Source organism: Homo sapiens, chromosome 5 (genome assembly GCF_000001405.40).
Source record: "Homo sapiens chromosome 5, GRCh38.p14 Primary Assembly".
NCBI lineage: Eukaryota > Metazoa > Chordata > Mammalia > Primates > Hominidae > Homo > Homo sapiens.
The window spans coordinates 81441022-81463883 of record NC_000005.10 but is presented as its reverse complement, the minus strand read 5'-3'; the positions used below and the strand labels follow the sequence as shown (position 1 = coordinate 81463883).

The following is a 22862-nucleotide window of genomic DNA, read 5'->3' as shown; positions in this document are numbered from 1 at the left end:
GGCACGAGAATGGCTTGAGCCCGGGAGGTGGAGGTTGTAGTGAGCTGGGATCCTGTCACTGCACTCCAACCTAGGTGACAGGGCAAGACTGTGTCCCAAACCAAAAAAAAAAAAAAAAAAAAAAAGAGGATTTTTCTCTTTGGTAATAGTGGTTGATTTGATTTCATCAAAATCAACCTCCTTACCAAAAAATGCAGACTTCTGCACCCAGGTTGGAGTGCTGTAGCATGATCTCGGCTCACTGCAACTTCTGCCTCTCCGGTTCAAGCAATTCTCCTGCCTCAGCCTCCTAAGTGGCTGGGACCACAGGCATGCGCCACCACGCCCGGCTAATTTTTGTATTTTTTGTGTAGATGGGGTTTCGACATGTTGCTCAGAATGGCCTTCAACTCCTGAGCTCAAGTGGTCCCCCCGCCTCGGCCTCGCAAAGCTTTGGGATTACAGGCATAAACTATCATGTCCAGCCTCTCTTCATTTTTAAATGAGGCTAACCTGATTCTACTTCAAACCATACTTATATAGAAATTTTCATTCAAAATAATTCCTATGTTATAATTTGTAAATTACTTTCTTAATAATACTGAGGGCCCTCAAAAGGAGTGGGAATTACTGAGCTTAACTAGTTGTTCTAATAGAACTACTCCCTACTATAACCCTCACTTTTTATAAAATACTTGTGAAACTTAAAGTATTTTCAAACACAATGGTAATGTTAGGAGAAATTTAACTTATCCATATGAATTATTAATACTTAATAGTAAAATGAAATTTATTATGAAACACTTAGTATGTTGGAACTAGATTGGTATTTATCAAATTGAAATATATAATGTTATGACATAAATGTAACATTTAATTTAATGCAATTAAATTAAATTAAATATTTAATTATTTTAACATTTAGGTTAGCATGTTTAACATTAGAAAAATTTGAAAATAAAAATAGTTTATTCTATTTATGCATCTTATTCATACAGTACTTGTTTGGTTATGATATTTCAAAATTATAAGATTATCTACATAACATTATTATATATAAATTTTGCCAGGATCTGCATATGGTGTACTTTTATGTCATTTTAAGATAAATGTTCCCAAGTTTTTTTACTGTGTTTTATTTAACATCAAACAAATCATGTGGATGTACCTTACTACCCAAATGTTTTACTTGGTCAACACATATCTTATGTTTTACCTTAGATTCTGTCCATTAGGACACTGAATCCTATAGGTAAAATCATTTTTCTGAAGTGTTCCAGTAATTAATTGTAAAATCATCATCTCCATCATCATCTTGGAGAGGCAACAATTTCCAAAGACAATCAATACAAATGCCTCTCACCTTCTTTCTCCCTATGCACAAAATTTTATCAAGTCCCCACTGGTATCTTCTATACCTCAAGCTGAATTGGGAAAAAATTCCACTTGGGCATTCCTAATAGAGCCCAGGGACAGGACTCATTCCCTTCCCTGCTGCTCACACCTCTAGGGAATCTCAAAACAAAACTAAAAACTGTTCTAAATATTCCATGCAAACATGGGTAATATCATAACTAACTTGCTCAGCCTCTTTATCTAACATTTAGAACTAGCTTGTCCAACCTGTGGCCTGTGGGCCAAATGTGGCCCAGGACGGCTTTGAATGTGACCCAACACAAATTTGTAAACTTTCTTAAAACATTATGAGATTTTATTTGTAATTCTTTTTTTTTTATTAGCTCATCAGCTATCGTTAGTGTTAGTGTATTTTATGTGTAGCCCAAGACAGTTCTTCTTCCAGTGTGGCCCAAGGAAGCCAAAAGATTGGACACTCCTGATTTAGAATTTTAGGTTTAAGGTCTTAGAATCAAGGGATTTTTTTTAATTAAAAATTTTCATTGTCTTAGTGATTCAAATGAAGGGGAATTTTAAATGACCCTAATTAGAGGAGACCGACTGACAGTAGTCTGCTTTTCATAAGACAGTCTTTATTCAGGTACACAATTTAGTACTAAAGTATGAGGACAAGAGACCTTTTTGATTTAATTAATTGGGCATTAATTTTACTTTAAAAACTCAGTGTCCTTAGAAGCTGTGGAATACAGAACATTCTCCTTTACTCTAAAATGAAGTAATATATTGGCATAGATTATCTCCCATTTTTTCTAAGATTTGCTCTGGCCACTATCTGGACTGAAATTATGAGAACAAGAAATGGGATTTCTCATTTAATAGTAACTAAATCATCAGTAGCATTGAAAGATAGATTAATAAATATAAAAGTAATGTGTGATACTCTGTGGTTTTTTTTTAAAAGGCAACTTTAGATACCTTTTATATATTTTTATTTGCTTATAGCTTAAGATCAATCATTTTACATATATTGATGTTTTACAAATTTTATTTTGAATGAGATACAGGAAGCTCATATTGATATCACAAGGTTATGGTTTATATTTAGTTCATAATACTTTTCACTACAGAAGTGTGTTTTATAATGATTTCAATGTATGTATATATTTACTCCTATGAGCAGTTACCATCTTTATAACAATAACCATTTAATATTAAAATAAAACTGGGCTTTCTAAAAGCAGTTCAATTTGGGAAGAAAACTTTTCTTTTGGGGGACTTAATTAATATAAAAAGCTATTAAAATAAATATAAAGAGAGTAATTTCAGTGCCAAACTAGAACTGCATAGTAACTGAATTATAAATGTTATATTTTATGATTTGTCATTGATTATTGTGAAACCTTCAAAGCATAGGTTAAAATTTCATTTATCAAATTGTTTTGTAGGGGTCCAGGTGGTGGTAGACCTTGGCCAAACCCAACAAATGCCAATTCAGTGAGTATATATATATATTTTTTTTAATATTTTGCATTTTGTAACATTTAACAAAAATCACAAAAACATTTTGCTTTTGAAAGCTTTGCAATTGGTTGTAGTAACCCTTTTTTAAGTAATCATTCAAAAAGTTTAATATAAATTTTAGAAAAAGATGCATAATTTTTTGAAATTATGTAATTTTCTTTCACTTCAAGGTCTAATGTAAACATGCATTCTATTGTCAACAAGACTTTCAAAAATAAAAATTGAAATAGTGTGACTTAAGTATATACTACAATAGCCTATAAATAGTGATCTGTATCATAAAATGGTTTGATCTTCTAAAATAACTATTAATAATCACTGAGTTGCCAAATACAATCAACCTGTTAGAAGAAGCCAAATTATTATGATTTTATTTGCTATATCAATTACATCTAGGTTTGCTTTCTTGCTGCCCCAGAAAGCAAATGCATATTTACCTTGTACCTGTTAGCTAAATTGCCATCCTTGTACATCTCTCTATATACCTGACATCTTGGGAATTTTCCTTATATATTTGTGGCCGTGGTTTGATGGCACTAATATTTATCTCTCTTAATAATGTCACAGAAATATGTGCACAGGTTGAAAATTAAGCTATCGATCTTAATATGATTTTAATGTTGTGATCCTGGAGATGTTTTTCCTTCTTGTCTTTGAAACCTTGAGTTCTTCGATATGTGAGAGAAGTCTGCCATGTACATCTGTGTACTGTGTGCACTGCACAAAGGTTCCCGGGTCAAGAGAGTCAGTAGGAGAATGAAATACAACCTGTGATCCCCTTGTGAAGTCAATGGGCATCTACGCAAAGAGGATGCTTTTTGCTAATATGTACAAAGGTATCTTCATTGGCTAGCAGTGGCCTTAATGTTAAATGAATATGAAACCGATCCAGTGTTTAAGGTTAGGGTATAGGAAGAATCATCCTAAATCCATTGCTGTTTTGAAGCAGGAATCACTTTCAGCTCAAGTAAATAACTGTCATATATTTTTTAAAATGTTAATTCATGTTATCTGCTTTTCTCTTAATTTTAATAGCTACGATGTTTGCTAAGTAATTGAAATTATTTGAAGTGAAAAGAATGATGTTGCTTCCATTTGAGTCTTCAGTGTGTTATTTAATTTCAACAAGTCTTTCTCCTAAAATAGTGTTTTGCCAGATTGTGTTGGAATAGAGTACCTTTACACCCTCAAAATTATTTTCATTTGCTTACATGCTTTACAAGAGTTTACTTCTTATGATCTATTAGCTTCTTACTATTTGACCTAACCAATTCATTCAAGATTTCACTTTAAAATCACACCTGTCTAGCAGGTCAAGATACATTTATTTTAACTTCCTATTTAAATGCCCATAAAAAGAATGCAAGAAAACATTTTTTGTAACAAAACTCTTCCCAGTGCCAGAATCTGGAAAGAATTTCCATTATCTGCATGTCTCATGAAGCTAGATGGAAAAGCACAACCAATGGCTCACCTTAACTATGGAAACCTTCCCACCTAGAAGCACAAAAACCATTCTCTTATTCCTCATTGTCAGCTCAGCCAGTCATCCCTTTACTGCCATTGTAGGCAGCCAGAGTACAATTCACACCCACCACTACCCACCTTTATAAGTACCTTCTTTTACACACTCATTCAAAGATTATATCTCCCACAAGGCACCTAGGAAGGTGGACAGGGTTTGAGCGGTTGATATTGACAAGGATGTTTCATTGTACCAAGGGGGTATATTATCCAAGTAAACAGTATAGATGAGAGGGGAGCTCTGTGTTCTGATGACTTTTAGTTTTTTAGGTACTCCATCTCTTTAGGATTTCATAGCGCTGGGCACTGTGGGTAGGAGAATACGCTATAACACACTAGCAGTTATGCATTATTTTAGACCCTGAGAAACATAAGGAATTAGGGTAAAAGCTGTACACATCAAACTGCTGTCCACCAGTCTGAAATGGGCATTTGACTAGCACACATGTAGGCAAGTAATGGAGTTGAAAGCAGTCTCCTCGATGAATGTATACCAAATGTGCAAACATCTACCCTTACTCAAAGTATGAGAATAGGGAAAAGAAGTGGAGGAGGCCTATCATTCTCTCTTTAGAGAGAGAAAGTAGTCATCATCCTGAGCATCCAAAGGAAAAGTAGGCCTCTGAAAATGACCACTCTAAGAACAAGGGGAAAAAAATCATAGATAACTGACGACTTTCTAGCAAAGACCTAGGGCTTCTATGAAACAGAAGCAAAAAGTATTAAGGAGGTATTTTTCCCCAAAAACCATGGATCATTTTGTGGTGACAACTTATCCAAATTATGTTGAATTCCAAGTTTCTTAGACTTCCTGCCCATATTTAATATTAAAACACTTTTCAGTTCGTACCAATACAGTTAGTCTCTGACTCCTCAAGGCAGCATATTGAAGTAGTTGTTTGTTTTGTTTTTGCTGTTTTCAAATATGTTTTGTTTACTATTTTTTCTTTCAAGTGTTTATTTTGGAATAACTTCAGAGTTAAACATTGCAAGAATACTACAAAGAATTTCCATACACCCTTCACCCAGATTCCCAATTGTTAATGTCTTACCACATTTGCTTTATTATTTCCTCTCTCTACATAAACGTATTTTTAAACTGTTTAAATTTCCTGAAACTTTATCCCTAAATACTTGCATGTATATTTCCTAAAAAACTAACACATAATTTTTTTATAACCCCAGTAAAATGATCAAAATAAGGAAATCAATTCTGATGTAATGCTATTTTCTAATCTACAGATTTTATTCAGATTTCACTAATTGGCTCAATAATCTTTTCAAACAAAAGAAAATCCCAATTTACTTGTTACATTCACTTCGTGTCTCTTTGTCTCCTTTAACTTGGAACAGTTTCTCAGCTTGTTTTTGTTTGGAGCGGGAGGTTGTTTGTTTGTTTTGGCCTTTCTTAACCTTGGAGTTAAAAAACTCCAAGCAAGATTATTTAGAATGTATATAATTTGGTTTTATCTATTTCCTTCTGATTAGATTTAGGTTATATATATTTGTCAGGGATACTACAGAAGTAATTTTGTGGTTTTTGGCCGGGTGCAGTGGCTCACACCTGTAATCCCTGTACTTTGGGAGGCCGAGGCAGGTGGATCACGTGAGGTCAGAAGTTCAAGACCAGCCTGGCCAACATGGTGAAACCCCATCTCTACTAAAAATACGAAAAATTAGCCGGGTGTGGTAGCAGGCGCCTATAATTCCAGCTACTCAGGAAGCTGGGCAGGAGAATCACTTGAACCCAGGAGGTGGAGGTTGCAGTGAGCCGAGATCGCGCCATTGCACTCCAGCCTGGGCAACAAGAGTAAAACTCGGTCTCAAAAAAAAAAAAATTTTGTGTTTTTCTCAATGCATCATTTCAGGAGGCACATGATGATTTGTCCCATTATTGTTGATGTTAATTTTGATCATTTAGTTAAGGTGGTGCTTGTCAGGTTTCTCCAGTATAAAATAACTATTTTTCCCCTTGTACTTATTAACTTAGAGACTTACTTTGAATGTACAGTAGGTATCCTCTTCCTCCTTATACTTTCATCTGCTATTTTGGACATCTATTGATGATTCTTGCCTGAAACACTTTTTTACTTTGTTGGTTGCCAAATGGATATTTTTGAATTCTGTCTTTTCTTCTCCGTTTATTAGTTAGCTAACTATAACAGAGTTGTTTTTTCTTTTCCATTCATATTCATTTATGTATATACGATGTATTCATGAATTATTTTATTCTGTGGGTTTAGGATGCTAAAATTGTTCAAAGTTTTCCCCTTTAAGTGGGATCACTTAACCTTTTAACATGTCCCCATTTTTCTCTGAGCACATTGAAGCTCTTCTTATATTTTCCCAGTTTTAGCCCTGGAAACAGCCACTTCTTTAAGGAGCTTGGGGTTCTTTAACTGGGTATTGGTATTTAGAACCCACTAGAGTAATACAACTTTTAGGCCCTCTCAACTAACAGAACTAGGAAATATATGTATGTGTATACACACCCACACACGTCTATACCTTTACCTATTTGTATTAAAAACATGAGTGCACACTGATGCTTCCATTTCAGTCCATCCCTACAGGGTTCAGTCTAGCCTTTCTACTTTCCATGTTTATAAGTCACTTCTCTGAAAGTATGAAACCTGTCTGTCTTATCCATAATATATGTATTTATTGCCTAATCTTTGTCCACAATTTTGTCATATAAAAGTGTTTTGCTCAAAAATATTTTTGGCACTCTTTTACATGACAGCAGGAAAAACATTTTTAAGGGCAAACTCATATTTTTAATTCCAAATAAAAGTTACGATTTTAATTTTTAATTTTCTTACCCCTGAGCATTACAGTATTGGTCTCAGATTCTTACTTAGAGGTTTATTTACAAACTCCCTAATTGTAATTTTTCTTTTTTTTTTCTTTTTCACGAAGGATTCTGATCTTTGTACAAGTTCTGATCATTATCAAACATTTTACTGAAAATAGACACTTTTGATTACAAGGTCCGGAACACCAACCAAACTAGACTTATACTGAAAAAGAGTATTACTGGATCATATATCTGAAAAGTCCAGATATATTTTTGGTTTTGAGCACACTTGGTTCCAAAAGTTTAAATTATGTCATCCTGAGTCCCACCCAAGCCACATGAAAAAAAAAAAAAAAGGCAGAAATAGTTTACTAAAGAAAATTAAAGGAATGGATAGTAAAAGAGGGGATAGGCATAAACAACAAAATGTTCAGTATAGCATTATACTCATTAATTCGCTCACTTGTCAGGGGAAAAAGAGGAAACTCCTTTAAGGAAAATATGCATCTATTAATAGTGATTAAGCCTAAAGGAAATATGAACAAATTACTCCAAATAGTCTCTGCTCTATACAAATAGGTGCTCATTTTTTTAAAAAGCACTAAAATAGAATATTTTTAATTTCATGTGGCACAGATAATGTCTTGATATTATCTTCCCTTATTTCTAGTAAACCAGTGCTTGTAAGATAGCTTTAAACTTCACAGTTGAAGAAAGGCACTTATCTAAAATGTTACAGATCATTTAACAAAATGAAAGTCCTCTAGTTACTTCTCTGCCCTCTACCACAGCACCACAATCATGGGTATTGGGACTCAGAATATTTCAGAATATTTGGATTCTCATCACAGTTTTTGAGTGATCTGTCTAGATTAGCCAGACAGTATGTGTGGCCCTTAATTTTATTCTCTGTCAAATAATAAGTTCTTCAAATTCTGTGTTTGACTTTCTAATCCTCTAATTTTGCTTATCTTCTACATCTTCATTTTTACCTTTCATTTCATCTTAATGAGTATTTAATATAAAGTATAGGGTAGGGTTAGAAGGAGGATTTTTTTTTTTTTTTTTTTTTTTTTTTTTTGAGACGGAGTCTCGCTCTGTCGCCCAGGCCGGACTGCGGACTGCAGTGGCGCAATCTCGGCTCACTGCAAGCTCCGCTTCCCGGGTTCACGCCATTCTCCTGCCTCAGCCTCCCGAGTAGCTGGGACTACAGGCGCCCGCCACCGCGCCCGGCTAATTTTTTGTATTTTTAGTAGAGACGGGGTTTCACCTTGTTAGCCAGGATGGTCTCGATCTCCTGACCTCATGATCCACCCGCCTCGGCCTCCCAAAGTGCTGGGATTACAGGCGTGAGCCACCGCGCCCGGCCTAGAAGGAGGATTTAGGGATAAAGAGAAGGTAAGAGTTTTGAAGGTGATTTCAACTCTTTGAATCCAAGTAGCTGGGAGAATGGGAATAACACAACTGAGCTAGGATCACAGGAAAAGAAGCAGGTGTAAAGGTAGGCAATGAGGTTTGGGGGCTTTGTTTTTTGTTTTTTTTTGAACGTTAAATTTGAAATATTTGTAGGACACCTTTGATTCTTCCACAATGCCTAATGCGTATTTCTATCCTTATACTTAACACGTTATAATTAGGATCTGTGATGTTCAGCCTCAGCCAGGTCCTCCCTGATGCTTTACCAGCAGTTTGTTTTTTTCACTCTTCCTTAGCTACTTTTCTTGTCCTCCTCAGTGAATACTATTGCAATTCTTTATTCTCATTCTGCACCTACATTATGTTTGGCCCCTTCTCTATCAGCTAATTGTGTCATATTTTACAGAGGAGAAGAAGAGACCATTAGATTCAAATTTCTTCAGATTCTGCCCTTTGCGTCCAATGTTATCAGACCTTTAGTCACCTTTCTTCCTTCTTACCTCAGAAATAGAAATATATATATATATGTATTTTCTTTTCAATTCTGACCCTTCTGTCTATTCTCTCTCTCTCTTTTTTATTTTTATTTATTGTTCTATTATTTTTTTTTGAGATGGAATTTTGCTCTTGTCACCAGGCTGGAGTGCAGTGGCACAATCTCGGCTCACTGCAACCTCCATCTCCCAGGTTCAAGCGATTCTCTTGTCTCAGGCTCCCGAGTAGCTAGGATTACAGGCACTGACCACCATGCCCAGCTAACTTTTGTATTCTTAGTATAGACAAGGTTTCACCGTGTTGGCCACGCTGGTCTCGAATTCCTGACCTCAGGTGATCCACCCACCTTGGCCTCCCAAACTGCTGGGATTACAGGTGTGAGCCACCACGCCTGTCCCTATCTATCTCTTTGTTCTATTTCTTGTTACTTCTTTGCATATCCTACTCATTCACTCTTTCAAATGAGTCTTTAGTCTATGTCCCTTTCCATTGACTGGAACTTTCCTCTAGTGCCATGCCGTGAACAAAATCCCAAGACAATCCGAAGGCTCTAGTTCTCTACTCCTCTAGAGTTGGGAGGGGTTACCAGTACAAAACTTCTCTCAACCCTTCCTCAGTCTCCAGCCACCATCCCATGTCTCCCATACTTCCACTCCCTCACCACCTTCTCCTAGATAATTAATTCCTTGGCCTGTCTTTTTAATCACCATGTGGCAATGAAGTGCCTGAAACATAACAGGTAATGAATGGAAGTTTATTGAATTTACTTCTCAACCCATTTCAGTTCCCATGAAAGTCCTATTTTGAAGGTTATTAGTGACTTTCTACTTACCAACCAAACTCAGTGACTTACTTTCTATCCTCATCATACCTAACATTTGAGATATTTGACTCCTTGGTTTTGTATTAATATCTTTTCTTTTTTTGGTTTAATAATGTTTCTTTAGTTTTCCATATTTTTATTACTTTTTTATTTACTTTTAGGTGTATCACAGAAAGGTAAAAAGCTTAAGCCTGACAGCCTTCAAGAATAAACCCAGGGCCAGGCACAGTGGCTCACGCCTGTAATCCCAGCACTCTGGGAGGCCGAGGCAGGCGGATCACGAGGTCAGGAGATCGAGACCATCCTGGCTAATACAGTGAAACCCCGTCTCTACTAAAAATACAAAAAATTAGCCAGGCGAGGTGGCGGGCGCCTGTAGTCCCAGCTACTCGGGAGGCTGAGGCAAGAGAATGGCGTGAACCCGGGGGGCGGAGCCTGCAGTGAGCCGAGATCACGCCCCTGCACTCCAGCCTGGGCGACGGCAAGACTCCGTCTCAAAAAAAAAAAAAAAAAAAAGAATAAACCCAGTTTAGATATTTCCTAATCACTGCATCTGCTACCTCCTTCTTAAAAATCTAACTTGCTTGACTTTTTATATTTTTCCTGATTTTCATCCAGTCACATATCCACCATTCTTTCTCTATCTCTTTTTTTTGGTGGGGTGGGGGGACAGGGTCTCACTCTGTTGCCCAGGCTGGAGTGCAGTGGTGCAAGTGGTGCAGTCTCAGCTCACTGCAACCTCCACCTCCTGTGCTCAAGCAATCCTCCCACCTCAGCCTCCTGAGTACCTGGGACTAGAGGCACATGCCACCATGCTTGGCTAATTTTTTTTTTGTTTTTTATAGAGACAAGGTTTTGCCATATTGCCCAGGTTCGTCTCAAACTCCTGGGCTCAAGCAGTCCTCCCACCTCAGCCTCCCAAAGTGCTGGGATTACACGTGTGAGCTGCCATGCCTGGTCTCCACCCATTCTTAATTGGCAATGTTTTCTAATTACATTTCTTGGCTGCTTTTTTTTTTTTTCATTTTAATGCTACCATGTTGTTTCAACTACCAAAAATCTAGTTTAATCCTAGATCAAGTATCTTGTCCAGCACAAAGTAGAAGTTTATTCAGTTGAAGCTGTATCCTTAGTCCTGGTCTCTGATACATTCTAGACCTGCATTTCTAAAAGTTTGTTTATCATATCTACCTCAGTGTCTTCTGGTACCTTCAAATCCTATAATCAGACATTTCCCCAAACCTGCCCCACTTCCTGAATTCCCTATGTATAAATGAGTAGCAGCAGCATCTACCCAGTCACCACGTTGAAAACCTAGGAATTATCTTAACTTCTTCCTTTCTTTGTCTGCCACACCCAGTTTGTCACCAAGCTCTGCCAAGTACTTTGTGAAATGACCCTCAAATTCTCCTACTCTTGCTTATCTTCATCAGCACTGCCTATCACTCTTTATCATCTCTTGCCAGGATTTTTTTCCAGTGGTCTTCTAACTTGTATTCATATTCCATGATGCCTCTAGACTTATTTCTCTAAAACATAAATTTAGGGCTAGGTGTGGTAGGTCATGCCTGTAATCCCAGCACTTCAGGAAGCTGAGTCAGGAGGATAGCTTGAGGCCAAGAGTTTGAGACCAGCTTGGAGAAAAAAGTGAGGCTCTGTCTGTACAAAATATTTAAAAATAAAAAAGGATTTTAAAAACATACATTTGAACATGTCTCTATAAAACCCATGACTCCTTATTTCCTACAACATAAATTCATTCATAGTCTGACTGTGCAGCCTCACCCTTTACCACAACCCCCTATAAGCCCCACACTATAGCAGCTATATAACATAGCATAGCATTTCCCAAATAAACCATGATTTCTTTTCTTTCTTTCTTTGTTTTTTATAGCAGTTCTTCTCTTTGTCTTTCTGATGGGCATCTACTCTCTGTAAGTCCCAACTGTCCAGCTCAAATGTATCTTCTGTACTCACATGGTACTTCTACCTATATTGTTATATTTTATGTCCTTCACACTACTGGTCCTAGGGCTAGGAGCCCAAATGCTGATTTTTAATAAAGACATCAAAGACTATGAAGTAGAAACAGCATAAGCCAAAAATAAAGAGCTTGACGGGGCAAAAAATTGAAAGAAATTGAACAACTAGTTGAGATAACATTTGTAAAAGTATTTTTAAATGTTTATTTTATTTAACTCTTTGAAGGAATCATGAAGAAGGAGAAATTAAAAGTATAAAAGGAGGCCAGGCACAGTGGCTCACGCCTGTAAATCCCAACACTTTGGGAGGCCAAGGCGGGTGGATCACCTGAGGTCAGGGGTTCGAGACCCGCCTGGCCAACATGGTGAAACCCCATCTCTACTGAAAATACAAAAATTAGCCGGGCGTGATAGCAGGCACCTGTAATCCCAACTACTTGGGAGGCTGAGGCAGGACAATCGCTTGAACCCAGGAGGCAGAGGTTACAGTGAGCCTAGATCACGCCACTGCACTCCAGCCTGGGCAACAAGAGCGAAACTCCATCTCAAAAAATAAATAAATAGAATACAATAAATAAATAATATAAAAGGAGCAAGGACTTAAGAATGAGATAGTTGAGAAAAGCTACCTTTGGAAATAAACAAAGTTTTTTTTTTTCCTATCTGGGATATACATGAAAATTTAAATCTATAAATAATAGAATGTTGAGCTGAAAATGAAGGTATAGTAAGAGCACGATAGCTTCAATGTATGACAGGAAGACGAAATATTTACTCAGGATGGTGTAATCACCATGAGTGCCAGCTCACAAGAGTCCATTGTTAAATATTCAGGAATTTCATGAGCTGTTTGTTAAACCACTGTTAGCTTAAAATCTGCCATGTGGGAATATTTACACCACAGTAACTGGCAAATACTATAAATCAGGGCTTTTTTTCCCCCATGAAGTTTACTGGGTTTACTGACACATTACCAGTAAGCTTCAAGGCTTTCATAAAGGCTGAGCCAAAAATGCTTCCAGATATTTGTTAAGATGAGGTAGAAGTTGGAGAGCATGATTACATTTTGGATCTTGTCAACCGTGTTTTGTGTTTCTCTCCAGGAAATCTGTGCATTAAAACAGAAAGGTTGGCTGGCTAGAGGGTGATCAAAGAGATGGAAATTAACAAAGTAGACTTTATGATAATGAATTTAAGACATTGGAGAGAGGAATAAAATGTTGACAGTGCCATGAAGGAGAGGCAGAGGCAATTTAGTTATAAACTAATAGAGAAATAATGTGCTAAGTAAACATGGTGGAATTGTGATGCAAGAAAACCCTGGTTGGAATATAGAGTAATTTTTGTAAGTGTCATGAGGAATAAGAAAGATGTCAGGCAAGGGAGTTAGTTGTTCAGTAAAGAGTTCTAGGATATGACCATACTCATAAATGGAGGAGAGGGCAGTATATTGTAAAGTAAAGCAAGGCGGTGAACTGCAAGTTCCAAATATCTAAAGGCTAATTAGATTGTATCTTAAAGTTGCTTAAGAATGATGATAGGCAATATAGAGTGACAGAAGAACATGAGCCAAGTGCTAAAGACAGAGAGAGATGAAATTGGTCCTAGGAGCCGATAGATAAATTGGTGGTTTGGAAAGGGCAGACTCACATTTAAATAAAGAGAAGTAGGCCCAGCACAGCAGCTCACGCCTATAATCCTGACACTTTGGGAGGTCAAGACAGATGGATCGCTTGGCTCAGGAGTTTGAGACCAGCGTGGGCAACATAGAAAAACTCCATCTCTACAAAAAATTAAAAATTAGCCAGTGGAGCACACCTTAGTCCCAGCTACTTGTGGGGCCAAGGTAGGAGGATTGCTTGAGCCCAGGAGGTCGAGACTGCAGTGAGCCTTGTTTGTCCCATTGCACTCCAGCCTGGGTGACAAAAAAAGACCTTGTCCCCTCCAAGAAAATGAGAAGCGGAGGATGGATGGTAGGTAGATCATGAACTGAAAGGGACCCAAGAGAGCAAAGTTGTATTCATTCACTAAATGAAGTAAATGTTTGCTGCCATAAAAAAATCTCAGTACTCAGCAGAATTAATTCTAATCCCTAGTGATGCTGGGCACTCTAGCAGTGGCCATCTGCAGTGCTGAATTACTCATAGGCAGACCAAGCAGAGCCTTGGGACATGTGTTGTGTGCGTAAGGCAAAGCAAGAACACCAAATAAGGAGAAAAGCTTTTCAAATAACTTAATATTAAATATTTCCAAAAAAACAAATATTTATCAAGAGGAAATCATAACTTGGTTGTACTTCCTTATACTTACTTTATGGTTTCATATTATTTTTGTGTTTAATTATATAGCAGGTATTGGGATAGATGGTTTAGAATAGTACAAGCACTTATCTTTTCACTACTGTAAAGGTCCTATTCTGGCCCTGGCTGTCTGACTTCGAGTAGAGAGTAATCTATTGGTGTTCTTCAGAATAAGACAAAAATATCTCTTATGGATGTACAGCATCTTAATACAAGTTAGCTAGTAAGCTTGTGTGAAAAAAGAAAATATTTGGATTTAACTTTCCCTATTAATATACATACTCGAGGGCTTACTTTTAAACATAGGTTTTCTGGTTTTTCATTTCTTAAATTATCACAGCAATGTCGTATTAATACCTTCTAATCTCTAGAAAAGAGCTTGGTGAAGAGCTTGATTTGAAGAGAAAAAGGGAGTTTGTTACCCATATCTGATCCTCACAAATTAATAGTCTTTGGAGACTCGTATTAACAAACTTTTTTTGCATAGCTTAGAAATTGTATGTGTAAATACTACTAATTTGAAAAATTCTGGTTTCCCATTTTTAGATACACAAATATATATATTTCTACTTACAGAATAAGTAATTAGTATCATGCAATATGCACAACTTACCTGAAACCAATATATCTTAAAGCAGTTATTCTGTCTAAAATCCTCTTGACTAAAATCTGCCTTCTTTTGTGTAAATCCAAGTTATTATTATTCAGTTTTCCAGTACTTAAACAGATACAAATTTTTTTATCCTTTACTATACTTTGTGATACATTTTAAAACTTGACAAAAAATCATGAAATAAATTCATTTTAGGTCAGTGTCCATATTGCTACATGAATCAAAAATTTTTTTGTCCTATTCGTGTTCCAGATACCATACTCCTCAGCATCTCCTGGGAATTATGTAGTAAGTACATTTGGGTTTGTTTGCTTATAAGAATTGATGTTACATTTTATTTGGGCAATGAAACAGTTGTCCAGATGTTAAGAAGAGCCCCTGTGTATTGGCCAAGAAGTGAACATCTTGAGTTGTTTCATCTGCCAACCTCAGTACATATGTTGATGTTCATTAGTGAAACAGTTATCAATCTGGCCAGAATTGCCCTGAGTACTGTGTTTTACTTCAGCATATGTTTCTGAAAACCAGTACAATACACTCTGTCCAATCATGAAGAGAGTAATCCCCAGTTACACAGTAATATGCTTGAATTTGCGGTTCTCCAGGAGAATAATCTACACCCCAGTCCAACCCTATGCACCACACATAGCGTCTAAGAAGACATTAAACTTTCTCCCAATCACAAATGAATTAGATGGCAGAATAATGACTAATAATTTAGAGGAATCATTTCATTTTTTGGTTGTTCTTTGAAATTGAGAACACTTATTTTTATCATTATTACTATTTAGTACACATTAGAATTTTCCAAAAATTCATGTCAATGTGAAGTCAAATTAATAAGTTTTATATGACCTCCTGAGCTTACAAGTGACCTTTTAATCATCATCATCACATTATGATCCTAGCTACATCTCAAAGTCAACACAGAGGAAAATACGTTACACCATTTAGAGGGAAACACCTAACAGAGAAACAAGGATAAAATGGTAACAAGGGAAATCTTTCCCACAGAAATGTTCAGAGGTGGTGGCTAGCTGGAGGGGAAAAAAAGAACGCATAAGAAGAAAATCAGTGAGCATTTCACTCTCCATGGAAATAGTATTTTATTAACATAGTGAAAAGCACACACTGCTTTGGACCTGTGAACTTAGTGTTCAGTGTTCATGTAAGCTATAAAACTAAGCAAGTCTTTCTTTGCATTTTCTATGAAATAAAAATGAAAGTAAGAAAATTTATATAAAACCTATTTTTTCTTAAAGCCACTAATGAATAAGGCTGATATATCATTTTATGAAATTATAGACATTTATTTAAAATAAATTTTAAGTTGTGCAAATACAGATATTATTTGAAATAATTGACAGGTCTATAGCCATACCACCCTGAATGTGCCCGATCTCGTCTGAAATAATTGGCAGGCTGTATCTGTACATTCAGAATGAAGTTAAAATTTTGCCATTTAAAAGTTAATTTGATTGCTGTACATAGAGCATCTGAAAAAGCCTACAACCCATTGCCTGAATTATCTATTTTGGTTATCTGAAATTATTGAATTAATTTTAGAATTACCTAATCGCCATTTCAGTTTGATTGTGTAGCTACAGCCTCAATAACCCACAGCATTAGTCAACTTTGCCTCTCATTTCTAATTGATGTGATAGTGGAAGGTACAGTGCTCCAGAAACGTTGCAATTGATGCTGACAGAAGAAAGAAATGACATCAGTGCATTTTTTTAAAATATGAATCAATAAGCAGATATCTTCATTTTTAAATATATTCTCTAAGCGAATATCATTTTAGCTTTCTATAAAAACTAAAAATACATATGAATTATTTCTGTTTTATGGATTTGTAAAGACCCTGTTGAATGATTTCTGCTTAACCTCATTATAACTGATATGATTAAGTCATGAATAATGAATTAATGGTACAGGCTCATTGTTTTTGGAAATTTGTCAAAACAGTCTCAACATATTTAAGCTAAATTATGTTTTGTAGAATATTGAAATGATTGTGCAGTCAAAGAAAATAAATTAGAGAAAATATATTTCTGCTCTTATTTTCAAATTGGATTATTATAGATATAAGTCTAACTTCTGTTTTTTCTTATGCAATGCCTTATTTTTACTGAAATTTTGTATAATTATTTAGGGTCCTCCAGGAGGTGGAGGGCCACCAGGAACACCCATCATGCCTAGTCCAGCAGGTATTGTAATCAAACTAGCCACATGGGCATTTGATTATTAGAATAAAATCACAGAATATAGAAATTGTTCATGAAATAAAGTTAGTAGTATTCATGTTCTCACGATAGTTAAAGGAGTAGAGGCAGCATGGTAGGAAGAAATATAGTGTTCTTAAATAAGTATTATCCAGTTAAGCATTTAGAAAATTCCTATGGTGTGGGTGTCAGATTTAATTAGGATGAACACTGTTGATCTATATGAATTGCCCAAAAATGTGTCTAACTTAAAGATTTATTGAGACTGATAAAACTAACCAAATCTTCTACAATTTAGAAAATTTCTGAATAAATAAAACATTAAATACATGGATTCATTAGGTTTAAAATGCCAAATCAGACTCACCACATCTATTATCTTACTAAGATGAATGAAGGATGAAGAAGTACTTACAGTATTATTTACCCTACATGTCTATAAGTATTTATTAGTCAGCTTATAAATTCACTATGTAATAATAAAAGTTTTTTATCTTCTAAACTAAAACATACTTCAATGTTTTCATAATCCTTTTATATAATTACTTTAAATAGTTTTATCATTTATTTTTGAGACTTTCACACAGACTATTAAATGTGTCTTGGGGTTGTTAACAGTGGAAGACTAAATTGGCGCACCCTTCTTAGAAAATGCTATGATAAAATGTGTCAAGAGCCATGAAAAGGTTCATACCATGTGACTCTATACTTCTAATACTAGAAATGACAGAGATACAACCCAAGATTTATGTAGAAGGATGCTCATTTGTTATACTCAAGAGTAAAACAGTAGACACAAACTCATGCCTAATTCAATTTTAGTGGAATTAGTAAATTAATGTTTAAGGTGTAGGTTAGAATATAATAGAGCCATTATAATTATTATCAAAGAATTTGTAATGACATGGAAAAATAAAATCTCATGATTCAATGCAATATAATCACAGTTTCATTTGAAACCGTAACACAAATCTAGAAAGTAGAAAACAAAGAAATAGGCTAAAACTCTATCAGTTATTACTTTGGGATGATTAAGTAGATGGGAAATTTTAATAATTATAAAGTATTTTTGATTATGATGTTTTACTGTTAAACTCATATGTTTTTAACTGGCTTGTTGAAATTAAGATAGAAGCTTGAAATTCAGTATCATTGATCATACCAATAAAAATTTTTAATTTTGAGCCCTTTCAATTTAGAAAAATCATAAACTTGATAATTAATACAAAATTTTACTTTGCTTCACTAACTCCTTGGATATTTAATGGTCTGTGTCCTGAAGGCATCTTCATTGAAAATGATACAATTCATCGAAGATAGAATTATATCAACTGATCATCTTGCCCATATTTATGTTCTTATATGGTGAAGTTAATGTTTAATTTATGAAGGTAGCATGTGAATAATAAATGCTTCACTGCAAGACTAAAAAAAAGTTTTTGGAGCAACACTGAACATTGCAGGCAATAAGTAATCTTCCTTTCAAACCAGAAATTGCCACAAGTACATCTTCCTAGTCTTTTTGCATACTCTTTTATGTGTTCATCCTGTGTCACAGTCACTCCTCTAATACTCAGCCAGCACCCCACCCACAAGAAAGGAGGTCCCAGGAGATCCACTTTATTGTAAAGTTTTTCTGTACATAGAAGTCAGACATTTTCCAGTAAATACATACATATATATATATATATATATATATATATATATATATATAAAATTTTTTTTTTCTTTGCTGAGACAGAGCCTCTGTCACCCAGGCTGGAGTGCAGTGGCACAATCTCAGCTCGCTGCAAGCTCAGCCTCCTGGATTCAAGCAATTCTCCTGCTGCAGCCTCCCGAGTAGCTGGGATTACAGGAGTGTGCCACCATGCCCGGCTAATTTTTGTATTTTTAGTAGAGACGGGGTTTCACCATGTTGGCAAGGCTGGTCTGGAACTCCTAACCTCAAGTGATTCACCTGCCTTGGCCTCCCAAAGTGCTGGGATTACAGGTGTGAGCCACCTCGCCTGGCCATAAATACCAATCTTATCTCTCTCAAATTTTTTCTGTAGCAGATGAAATTATATTCTTGATTAGTCTTTAAAATGATAAATTTCTTTTCTTTGTGCACATTTAAAATATGTAGCCCATCTTCCTTTTACCAAGAGTAAGGCCAATACAGTTGAAAAACCATTTGAAGATTTCCTATGTTTAAAAAGCAATCCAAGATTTTTTAAAGTTAATCTTGTGTGTGATTGAGTTTATTCCAACAGTTAAATCTAAGTTAGCAGTACTTATTGTCTTTAGTACACAAGATGAGTAAGACACGGTCCTTTCCTTCTCTCCATGAGCTTATTATGTCCTAGTTGGAAGCAGGAGGAACGAATAAAGCAGTAAAGTATTCCTATAATGGAAGGCAGAACTCAGTGGGAGGGGAGCACTCATGCACTTGGAACTGCCAGGAAAAAACCTCATGGAAGACATAACATTTGAGATAGCCCTTCGATAGTGAGTAGAATTTCAGTGCATAGAGATTGAGAAGGTGTTTGGAGGAAGAAAGAACAAAATCATGGAGGCAGAAAGGTTGGTCACAGGAAAAAACAAGTAGCCTGGGTTGACAGGAGTATAGCATACACAAGGATGTAAAAACAGTTAAGGTCACAAAAGTAGGTTAGGACCTTCCTTAGAATAAACAAATAGGGTCAACCTGAGGTAGGCACTCCAACTTTTTCAACATTATGATATATTCAAATAGATATATTCAAATAAGATACAGTATTTAGATTTATGGGTCATTGTTCACAGCCAACCAATAAATGACATGAGATCTACTCTGTAAGTAATACACACTAAAATAATAAACTTATTAATGTCTAATGAGTAATCACACAGTAAAAGGAAAAGTAATTGCCACTCTATGGTTACTGCCATGAGAAAGTAAATGATACTTACCTTCTGTCTCAAATCAGTACAAAAATTTTAAACACATCTTTTTCTCAAAATGGGCCTACTGGCGGGGCGCGGTGGCTCACGCCTGTAATCCCAGCACTTTGGGAGGCCAAGGTGGGCAGATCACAGGGTCAGGAGATCAAGACCATCCTGGCTAACACAGTGAAACCCCATCTCTACTAAAAGTATAAAAAATTAGCCAGGCGTGGTGGCATGCACTTGTAGTCCCAGCTACTTGGGAGGCTGAGGCAAGAGAATCGCTTGAACCCGGGAGGCGGAGGTTGCAGTGAGCCAAGATTGTGCCACTGCACTCCAGCCTGGGCGATAGAGCAAGACTCTGTCTAAAAAAACAAAATAAAACAAAAGAGGCCTACTACATTATATTTAAGAAAACTGTATAATGTGGAAAAATAGAAAACCATAATTTATCATTTATATTTTCTCAATGTAAAATATTTAGCCTTTCACTCTAGGTTTTATATTATAAAAACATGTATGCTCAGAGACTTAATTAGAATTAGCTAACAGACATGAAATATAAATTTTTTAAATACTGCACAATGTTACATATATTTATATGGATATGCAGTACAGATATTTTTATTATAATAAATCAAAAATAAAGTGAGTAAAAACATTTCATCAGAAGTTGTGCTGGAAGAAGCTGGCTTTTAGTTCAAACAGGAGAATTACATTATTCTAATTGTATACTCTTACTCTAATCTTTTTCTTTCGGAATTAAGCCAGGATAGTCCACCAGCTTTCACTAATTATTAAGTAAAAAGACTATTTTTAAAATTTGTATATTGGAAACTTAAGGAAATAAAACTGAAAAGCAACTGAATCTGAATTTTAAGAGATATTATATATTACATATACACACATACACACACATAGAATTGCTTGAAGTAAAAAAGTATCTTTTTTAAAAAGAAAAACTTTACTATAATTTTTTAAATTTCTAATAATCCTTTTACCTGAATTATTGAAGTGATTCCTCATACCTAATTTATGACCTCAGAATGACAATTTTGGGGTCAGAAAATGACTGTGGGTATTTATTTTTAGTAATGACAATTTCAAGTGTTGCAGCTTATATAGAGAGAGGTATCTGTATGCAAACCATCTTTGATCATTACTTTGTGATGAATTGGGTATAGACTCTAAAGAAATATTTTAATTAAGTAATATTTTGTTTCAGATTCAACCAACTCTGGTGATAACATGTATACTTTAATGAATGCAGTACCTCCTGGACCTAACAGACCTAATGTAAATATGAACTTTTTTTATTTTTGGAATGTATTTGAAGACTTTCAAACTCTGAGTGCATTCCATGTCCTGTATATTGTTTAAACTTTATATTTTATTATCCAGGAGCTTATTAGATATTCAAAAAGTCAAATTCTTTTCTCTGAGCTGGGTTAAAAAAACAGTAAACATATATAACAGAGATTTTATATCAATATAATTTAAAAGTAAAACTGATCCTAATCAATTACACATTAGTTTCATCTTATTTTATTGTAAATAATTAATGATATATACTATTTGAAAATGACAGGTTATGTATAATCATTTATATTAACCTCATTTTTAGCATCACTAAGCTTTTTCATTGTGATCTTTTTTTGTCCTGATAAACTTGAAAATAAAGGAGGAAGTTGGCTATGCTTGTTTTTTTTAGAATATGAAATCTAGACTTTAAATATGGAGCTAAAGCAGTTACTACAGGAAGAACTTGGGTGTTCTTAATAAAGCATATAGTCATGATTTTTCCACAGAAGTTCACAGGAAAACATTTTATTTATCTATAAGGCCTACATGTTTACAAAAATATTTATAACAGATTGTAGTTAATACACATATACATGTGTATATAGGGTAGCAGAAATCAAAGAAAAATCAGAAGATATATATTTATATGTTAAACTGACCAAACATACATACCTATAGTTTTAGTGTCTTTTAAAACACTGTAGGAGCCAGATAAAAGTTCACAGGCTACTAGGCCTACCAGCACCAGTTTTTCAACCCATATCTAAACTATGCTTTTGATAAAAGCTGAATAACAGCAGTAAGTTTAAAGTCAATTATTTCTTTGACTTATATATGCCTTATATCAGTGAGGCATACATATTCCAAGTTGTTTACTGAACACCAACCTACGTGCTTTTAGATACTCAATTTTACCAAGCAAAATTGGCATTCTCTTGGAGAATTTTATAAGCATGTGGTTTGTATTGCCCATGGTGATAGAAGGCCATCTTATTCACACACAGAGGTGGTGAAGTACAGGTTTGCCTGCCAAAGGCAGTTATTTCTTCCTAAAAGCCTTCATGATTAGTCACCACCACCACTGCATCCACACACACACACCATAGTCAATATTCTGCCAATATTCTGCACCATACAACATGGTAGAAATGCTTTTGGCATGGGAAATTTGAAGAGAAAATGTTTTCAGCAGGCTGTCTTAACTGTAAGTGTAAGGTATCATGGTAACTTGTCTTCGAACTGGGCTCCATGTTTCCTTAGTCTTCTAGAGAGATGAGAGGAAGACTGAGTGGGCGGGCCATGGGTTCTCTATCACCAACCCCATCATAGCACACCTGTTTTGAACCAGACTTCTAATGTAAGATTCCACCTGAAAAGAAAGGAAAGAAAAAAAGAATTCCACTACTTTGAAAAATGTTAAGCAGAATTGCCATGGAACCTCTGAGTGTCATTGAAGTGACATGGTTGAGACTGCCAAGAAGAATTAGCTATATTCAGCCATCCCCAAGGAATGAAATGTATTTAACCTATAAGATGAAATTATTTATTATGTCCATTTAAACAAAGACAGATTGCCTACTAAGAAAAATGTTAATGTTGTCATAATGACATTGAATTATTCTTAT

General features: G+C 35.4%; 1 protein-coding gene across 91 annotated transcripts in view, besides 1 other annotated feature; it reads left to right on the top strand.

Annotated features, from left to right (window-relative positions):
* Nucleotides 1-22862, top strand: part of SSBP2 (single stranded DNA binding protein 2) — a 339004-nt gene that overhangs the window by 287924 nt on the left and 28218 nt on the right. For 53 of the 91 annotated variants that reach the window (NR_174539.1, NR_174533.1, NR_174553.1 and 50 more), the window contains 4 exons: nucleotides 2781-2829; nucleotides 15059-15094; nucleotides 16962-17016; nucleotides 21161-21231. Coding sequence is in view for 52 of the 91 variants with exons in the window: in XM_047417066.1 (XP_047273022.1) it covers nucleotides 2781-2829; nucleotides 15059-15094; nucleotides 16962-17016; nucleotides 21161-21231 (211 nt within the window). In the remaining 39 variants the exon portion in view is untranslated. Of the gene's footprint in view, nucleotides 1-2780; nucleotides 2830-11805; nucleotides 11846-15001; nucleotides 17017-21160; nucleotides 21232-22862 lie in introns of all 91 variants that reach the window. The other 38 variants (NR_174559.1, NR_174560.1, NR_174537.1 and 35 more) reach the window with 16 other exon arrangements.
* Nucleotides 12551-13052: an enhancer, noted in NCBI's record as "NANOG hESC enhancer chr5:80746651-80747152 (GRCh37/hg19 assembly coordinates)". NCBI's record gives its function as "activates a minimal SCP1, AML or CMV promoter by ChIP-STARR-seq in primed H9 embryonic stem cells {active_cell/tissue: H9 hESC(primed)}" and the evidence as "EXISTENCE:reporter gene assay evidence [ECO:0000049][PMID:30033119]".